Below are 8,977 nucleotides of genomic sequence, written 5' to 3'. Positions count from 1 at the left end.
GGACATTGTCAGTCATATTCACCGTCTTTAGAACTTCAAATACAATGAGACGTGGGGAATGGCAAGGCCAAGTTTTTGATGTAAAGAGCATTATTGGTTGCTCTCTAGAGGAAAAATTAAAAGAAGACAAAATGAAATTGTGCAAGTCTAGTCTATGACCCTAGCATACTTTCACATGATGACTTCTTATGGCAGAAAGAAAAACAAAATCACTCCGATTTTTGTGATTTCCCCACAGATACAGTTAGAAAAGCTCCTAGGATGGTGCTACTCAGATAGATAGATAGATAGATAATAGGTAGATAGATAGATAAATGATAGGTAGGTAGATGGATGGATAAATAGATGATAGATAGATAGATAGATAGATAGATAGATAGATAGATAGATAGATGATAGATATAGATTAATACATGATAGATAGATAGATAGATAGATAGATAGATAGATAGATAGATAGACAGACAGACAGATAGATAGATGGATGATAAGGAGATGATAGATAACAGATAAATGGATGATAGATAGATAGATAGATAGATAATAGGTAGATAGATAAATATGGATAGATTGAGAGATGATAGATGAATATATAATAGATGGATGATAGGTAGATAGATGACAGATGATAGATAATAGATAGATGAATGATAGGTAGTAGACAGATGATAGGTAGATGGATGGATAGATAGATGATAGATAGATATAGATGGATAGATATATTGATCGATTGATAGATGATAAATAGACAATAGATTGGTGATAGGTAGATCGATAGAGATAGAATAGATAGATGATAGCTAGATAGCTAGATGATAGATAAAATAGAGATAAATAGATATATTATAGATAGGTAGATAGATGATAGGTAGATAGACAGATGATAGATAGATACAAATATAGATACATGGATGATAGAATAGATAGATGGTTCCTAGCTAGCTATAATAGATGATAGATTAGATAGAGAGATGATATATAGATAGATGATAGATAGATTGATAGATAGATAGATAGATAGATAGATAGATAATAGGTAGGTAGATGACAGATAAATGATAGGGAGATAACTAGATGATAGGTAGGTAGGTAGAGAGATGACAGACAGAAGATAGGTAGATAGCTAGATAATAGATAGGTAGGTAGTTTAGCAGAAAGACAGACAGATAAATGATGGATAGATAGATGATAGATTAGTTAGATGGAGAGATAGATGGAATAGATGTATGGATGGATTGATAGCTACATTGAGAGACAAACTAGAAAATTTTGGCAGGAGGATTGAATGGATTTTTTTAAAAAGACATAATATGCTGTGTATCAGGACTAGTTTGATCTACACATAACAAAAACCCAAGAGTGAGCGGCTTGAGGAATTAATGAGATTATGTTTTTGCTGTGTTCTCTACACAATAAACAGCTCAGAGGCGTTATGGGTTGTGTGATCTCACCCCAAAATTCATGTGCACCTGGAATCTGGAAAGAAACGTCTATGTGGAGAATCAACACCCTCTGAATTATGATCTAAAATTCTCACTCCACCAATATATATTATTTCTGGAGATGCATTGTGTGTGTGTGTGTGTGTGTGTGTGTGTGTGTGTGTGTGTATACCCACACATTATATGTATTGTGTGTATATATATAATTATATATGTATTAATATATATAATTATATTGTAAATAAAAGACAGTTGGCCAACATCGTTGTTAGAGACATTGACCTCTTGTGCACTCAAAAATCCATGTACAACATTCAACTCCCCAAAACTTAACTATTAATGGACTACTGTTGACTCAAAGCCTTACTAATGACATATACAGCAGATTAACTCATATTTTGTATGTGATATGCATTATATACTATATATACTGTATTCTTACAATAAAGTAAGCTAGCAAAAATAAAACGTTAAAGAAAATTATAAGGAAGACAAAATATATTTACTATTTATTGAGTGGAAGTGGATCCTCATAAAGGTCTTCATCTCTGTTGTCTTCACGTTGAGGAGGCTGAGGAGGAGGAGGAAGAGGAGGCGTTAGTCTTGCTGTCTAAGGGGTGGCAGAGGCAGAAGGAAATCTATGCATAAGTGAGCCCATGCTCTTCAAATTCATGTTGTTCAACGGTCAACTATCTATCTACCTACATATCTATCTATCTATTGCATTATAATTGATGAGTTGTATTGTAAATTAATACTTCCCTAGAGTTCTTTCTGTATACCAGGTAAAAATGGAGAAGAGAGAAAAATGAAACAACAAAAATATACATGCCAAATGGTTCACACCTTTCATTCTATGTTGATGTAATTATAAGTGATTTGTGGTTTTTATAATCTCCTGTTTTCCTTTAAAAATGTTTAGGCAAGAAGTCAGTTCCGTTTGAAATATATAATGTTACTTACAAAAATAACAAATACATAAGTGTTAATTTTTTGGAAAAAAATATTAATTCTTAAGTAAAATTTTAATTGGCCCTCTTTGCACACGTCAAAACTTGTTTCAGTGAAAGAGCTTGACTTTCTTTTCTTGACACTAAGAAGGTAAGGAGAAATGATATTTTCTTAAAGACAGTGGAATGAAGTGAATAAGCTGAAATGATATATTTGCCTCCATAACATTCTTACAAAGAAACATTGGCCTTAGCACAAACTCTTTACAGTTGGAGGATAAAATAATGGAATTTGAAAGCCTATATAAATCAATATAATGTGAGACTCAAAAATAAGAAAAAGCTCTGAAAAGGAATGCTTGCTCCTAGGGCATAGAGGATATTGATTAAAGAAAAGTTTTGAGGGCTTACTGAAGTGGCATCATTACTTAAGTCTACTCCTCAAAAGAGAAATTGGTTACATATAAAAGACACAGGTGTATAATTCTGGTGCCTTAAAAGGAGTTCCCCAATTATGTGAGTCTCTTGTTATATCCAAGAGGTGTGAGGAATTCCTTAAAGAACTCAGTAGAGAGCTGATTTAAAAATGCAAATAACCTTGAATCTGTTTCTGATTTAAGCAAATTATTGAGTGCATGATCAATAAATCTATCCCAGGGCTCGTCTCAAGAGTAATGCAAAGATGAGTTCCCCTACAGACTTATTGTTGTTGACATTTTGGTGTCTTACAAAGCATCCTCCTCTCGTTTCTCCTTCCTAACAGAACCCCAATTTTATACATTGATTAAGCACAAGTGCTTCATATAAATGAAATCCATTCCTATCCCGAGGAAGGATGGAGGGGAAGAGAGATTAGGATTTGTCCAAGCCAATTATGGCGATGCTGCCATTGTTTGATTTAAAAATGGGATTGGGATTAAATTCTATCCAAAAATATGAGACAAAAGGGCTGCTGGAGTGATGCTATGAAATATATCCACACTCCTAAGGAAGAGACACCTTTATCATTTCTGTCTGGAGTATGACAGAGAAAGTTTGTGCTATTCCATTTGTGGCTACCATCTTGGTAAGACACATCTGGAAACCAACATCCAAGAGGTCAGAGAGAAAGGTTAGAAAGAACTGCCAACATTACAGGCATCGTTGAGCCTGAGCTGCTTCCATGCATGTGAGCATTCAGATTTTAAATTATTGATGGTAATTGGAATTGGAGTTTCTGAGCCTGGCAGCTGAAAGGGACTCAAGTCTTCCTCATGCCCATTGATATTTCAGTGATCTATGATTTTATTCACTCTCTCACATGCCTCGCTAAGAATAATAAATAAAAGATGATGAGAGAAAGTAGAGTAGTGCCTCAAACCCAGGTTTGTTGAAGAAATCATTAAAGAAATAAGTTTAAGGTTATTATCTTTAGAATGACTTGCTTCTGGGACTGACTCTAGGCTGGCATCTGGAATTTTAATGTTCAGAATAGTTACTAAATTACTAAGCGAAAAAGTTGTATTAGCCTGCCTAGACTGTTTCTACAAAAACGTGCTTTTTTAAGTGACCTCATCTTAACTTGAATACATCCATAAAGACTCTTTTTTCAAAAACTGTCACATTCGGAGGCACCAGGGGTTAAGACTTCAATATATCTATTTGCAGGACACAATTCAACTCAACACACACACACCCAAAGACACACACACACACACACACACACACTTCACAGTTGAAGAATGTAGTGTTCTGGGGAACAGTAGCAGGGAGAAGTTAGGAGTAGGTGGATTTGATCACAGCTTTGTGGAAGAATCAGTGTTGCTAATTATTTAAATTTAGGACGACGACATCACCTACAAGTTCCTATAAGTAAGCAGTTAACAGTCCTAGTTAGCATCTGTTAGAAATCTTTTGACAGTGGAGACACTTATGATTTCATGCCTGTATGTTCTCTAAGTGTTTCAAGGTCACTGAGGGTAGAGTTGAATAAATAAACCCTTTGACAGATAACTCACTGGTGTGATGTACTCTACTCTTTAGAAAAAAAATTAAATTGGTTTTACCACGATGACAATTTTGCTGTCTAATTATTTCCAAAATGTATTTGCTCTAGGATGTGCTCTTCTTCTTCATATGAAAAAAAAAATGCCAAATCCAAGGCAGTATCTAGCATAAAAGGAAACTCATGGTAGAAACTCAAGGGTGTGCAGTACCAATAGAAAGAAAACCGAGCTGATTGCCCTCTAAAGAAGAATTTATGCTGCCAGGAGGCAGGTAGCTCAGATGGCAGATCTTGAGAGAAACTGAGTAATGATCTGCTAACTTTGATGAAATGTAAATACGGAGAAAGCAAAATGCACCTGGAGAGAAGAAATCTGCTCAATGAGACAAAGGCCCTGGGTAGACAAAGGGAAGGAACAAAAGTAGACCAATGTTTAAATATTAAATGTGCACCCTGAATTCTGAGATGTGTGTGTTTTCCAAGTGGATTAGTTTGTTCTCACATTGCTATAAAGAAATACCTGAGACTGTGTAATTTATAAAGGAAAGAGGTTTAATTGACTCACAGATCTGCCTGGCTGGGGAGGCCTCAGGAAACTTACAATCATGGAGGAAGGTGAAGAAGAAGCAAGGACCTTCTTCGCATGGCAGAAGGAGAGAGATGTGCAAGCAGGAGAAATGCCAGATGCTTATAAAACCATCAGACCCCATGAGAACTCACTCACTATCACAAAAACAGCATGGGGAAAACCATCCCCACGATCCAATCACCTTCCTCCCTTGACACGTGGGTATCATAGGTCCCTTTTTCAACACGTGGGAATTACAATTCAAGAAGAGATTTGGGTGGGGACACAGAGCCAAACCACATCACCAAGTGAGGGACAGTTCTTCCTCCAGCTTTTCTCAGCCTCTGAAAGTCCAACTTCCCCAAGCAGGGCCCCTAGTGAGGCTATCTTCTCTACTACACATCTAAGAATCCCTGGAAGTACTGCTAAAATGTATTAGATAAATGCGTAACTTCCTTGGTGTTTGCAAGAACCTATTAAGAAAGTGTTGCAGCTTGAGTTGTGCAACTCCAACAGATATGTCCAAGTCCTAACCCACAATACCTGTGAATGTGAACTTACTTGGAAATAGGGTCTGTGCAGATATCTTTAGTTAAAGATGAGGTTCCATTGGAGTAGGGTGGCTCCCTGATCCAATATGACTGGTGTCCCTATAAGAATGTAAACACTTGCATGCACGCGGGAAAAACACCATAAGACGGAGGCAGAGATAGGCATAGTGTGTCTACCAGGTAAAGAACACCAACTGCCACCAACCACATAAAAATAGGATAGGGGCATGAAATGGATTCTCCTGGAGTTTACAGAAGAAGCCAACCATGCTAGCACTTTGATTTCAGACTTCTAGACCCCAGAATTATGAGAGAATGCATTTTTGTTATTCCTGACACCCAGTCTGTGGTACTTCATAATTCTGAAAAATGAATTCAAAAAGTTACGACCAACCCTTCACCAACATATCAAGAATTAACTTGAAAGCCATGGCTGATGTTCCTCTCCTCTCTCCCACAGTCTGTGCAAACCAGAGACGATTTCTACACACCTGCACCAGCAATTGATTTAATTTTCTCTTCCTACAAAGAACAAAAGGGCAACTGCTGAACTTGAGTGGGGTGGAATGGAAAAGGCAACTCCCAGATTCCCACTCTCTGACAAAATAGGAGCAAGTATGAAAATAAAGCGCTCTTAGAGCCAGCATCCTCTAGAGAAGTTTGCATGTGGAGAGCAAATCATCTTTGGTTCTGATATTTGTTGGGTCATTTAAGACAAGGGCCAGGACTGGAAAGCACTGGAGAGGGTAACCTGTAAGTTAGTGAAAGGCTGGCTGTATTTATCTTCACTCACACAAAATTTTAATGCAGAGGGCTCTCAAAAGACAGCTTTCTCCATACGGATTTGTTGACTCAGGGGATTCTTCTGCCTCTTAAATGGGTGTTCCTACTATTTGATCAGCTGGATGAGTTCTCTTCACCATATTATTAAAATGTGGCAATGGTCTTCAAGTCAGTTATGCTCTGTCGAATTCTCCACACTAACACTGAAATGAACATTGACAAAATGCAGAAGGGGTACTCTCAAGGCAAACTTCTCAGGATAGAGCATTGTCAATCTCTGTCTCTCTTTTCTCTCTCTCTCTCTATATATATATGTGTGTGTGTGTGTGTGTGTGTGCACGCGCGCGCACGTGTGTGTATGCAAACATATTTGTAAGTATAAATAGATGACTATTTCTCTGTCTCTCTCTGTCTCTGTGTGTATAAACACATTTGTAAGTATAAATCTAGATCTCTCTCCCTCTCCATCTCTCTCCCTGTGTAAACATATTTGTCAGTATAAATAGATGAGAATCTCTCTTTTTCTCTCTCTCTGTGTAAACATATCTGTAAGCATGAATATATGAAAATCTCTCTGTCTCTTTCTCTCTGTGTGTAAACATATCTGTAAGTATAAATAGATGAAAATCTCTCTGTCTCTCTCTTTCTATGTAAACATATTTGTGAGTATAAATAGATAATAATCTCTCTCTGTCTCTCTGTGTAAACATCTGTAAGTATAAATAGATGAAAATCTCTCTCTGTGTGTCTTTCTGTGTGTGTAAACATTTTTAAGTATAAATAGATGAAGATCTCTCTCTCTGTCTCTGTGTGTGTGGGGGGGGGTAAACATATTTGTAAGTATGAATACATGAAAATGTCTCTGCCTCATTTTCTCTGTGTGTAACATATCTGTAAGTATAAATAGATTAAAATAGTTCTCTCTCTGTCTCTCTCTGTGTTTGTAAACATATTTGTGAGTATAAATAAATGATGATCTCCCTATCTCTCTCTCTCTGTGTCTCTCTCTGTGTGTAAACATATCTGTAAGTATCAATAGATATAAATCTCTGTGTGTGTATGTGTAAACACTTGTAAGTATAAATAGATGAAGATCTCTCTTTTTCTCTGTCTCTCTGTTTGTGTAAATATATTTGTAGCTATAAATAGATGAAGATCTCTCTCTGTCTCTGTGTGTGTGTGTTAAAATATTTGTTAACTATGAATAGGTTAAAAAGTCTGTCTCTCTCTGTGTGTATATGTAAACGTATTTGTATGTATAAATAAAGACCGGATGGGTGTGTGTGTGTGTGTGTGTGTGTGTGTGAGATTATATTTCACCTTTCAAGTTGCTGAGTATCTCAGTGTGAAAGAAGCAATATTATAACGAGGAATCAGAAGCATACACGAATAGCCACAATGAAACACCTCCATTAGAAAACGCAGCCTGTTGAAAAGCTAATAGAATATTTTTACCTCCAAGCAAAGAAGTGACCAAGGAATGCAAGCAATCACAATTTTTGTTTGCTTTAAAAGTAGTCAGGAAATGCCAACCTTAAGAAAAAGCAGAGGTAATTCAGTCTTAGTCTGTTCAGGATGCTATAAGAAAATATCATAGACTGGTAGGCTTATGAACAAGAGAAATTTATTGCTTACAGTCTTAGAGGCTGGGAGTCTAAGATCAAGACATGGCAGATTCAGTGTCTAGTGGGGACCCGCTTCCTGATTCATAGACAGCACCTTCGTACTGTGTCCTCACATGGAGGAAGGGGCAAGGGAGCTCTCTGGGGTCCCTTTTATAAGAGAACTATAAAAGGCTTTACCTTCATGGCCTCTCCACCTCCAAAAAGCCCCACCTCTGAACACAGTCACCTTTGGGGTTAGGATTTCAACTTAGGAATTTTAAGGGATTTAAACATTGAGGCCATAGCAAGCACCATGCCATTCATTCGCAGATCGTGCTAGCACAGTTGATGTTGATCAAGGTCAAATGTTGAGATGATCACAGCTACAGCAGGTTGTGTTTTAGAAATGGGCCACACATTCTCTTCTGTCCTATAATGTCTTCTCCAATGTGACTTCGCCAACCCCATCACAGGGTGGCGTATAATTCTCCTCTGCTGGAATCTGGACTGGCATGTAGCAGATCCAGCCAAGGGAAGATGGTGGAAGTGAGTAGAATTGTGTTTGTGTCTTCCAAATAGGTGTGTCCATGTGCTAACATCTACAAAGAACCTGTAAATGTGTGCTTATTTGGAAATAGGGTCTTTGCAGATGTAACTAAGAATCTCAAGATGAAATTATCCTGGATTATCTGTGAGAACCCTACATTCAATGACAGATGTCCTTCTAAGAGACAAAAGAGAAGAAGACACAGACACAGAGGCCACGAGGAGATGGAAGCAGAGACTGGAGAGATGCGGCCACAAGCCCAGGGATTCCTGGACCCCGCAGGAGCTGGGAGAGACAGAAAGATCCTCCCCTAGAGCCCATGGAAGGAGTGTGGCCTTGAAACCTCTTGATTTCAGACTTCTTGCCACCAGAACTCTGAGAAAATAAAATTCTGTTGTTAAAAGTCATTCAATGGGTGGCAATTTATTACAGCAGTCCTAAGAAATGAATATAGTGATGCTCTCCTTGCCCCTGGAATATTTGTACCTGGAGCCCTGAGCCACCACATGAAACATCCTAAGTCCATTCTGCTGGGAAGCATCCATCCC

The 8,977-nt window shown here is 37.7% G+C and overlaps 1 annotated feature.

Annotated features, from left to right (window-relative positions):
- Nucleotides 8,270-8,445: a silencer, noted in NCBI's record as "fragment chrX:4203631-4203806 (GRCh37/hg19 assembly coordinates)". NCBI's record gives its function as "represses an EF-1alpha promoter that drives an FKBP-Casp9 reporter gene in an ReSE screen in K562 erythroleukemia cells {active_cell/tissue: K562}" and the evidence as "EXISTENCE:reporter gene assay evidence [ECO:0000049][PMID:32094911]".

This window comes from Homo sapiens, chromosome X (assembly GCF_000001405.40).
Source record: "Homo sapiens chromosome X, GRCh38.p14 Primary Assembly".
Taxonomy (NCBI): domain Eukaryota; kingdom Metazoa; phylum Chordata; class Mammalia; order Primates; family Hominidae; genus Homo; species Homo sapiens.
The sequence above is the reverse complement of the archived record's forward strand: the minus strand, read 5'-3'. Positions and strand labels throughout refer to the sequence as shown.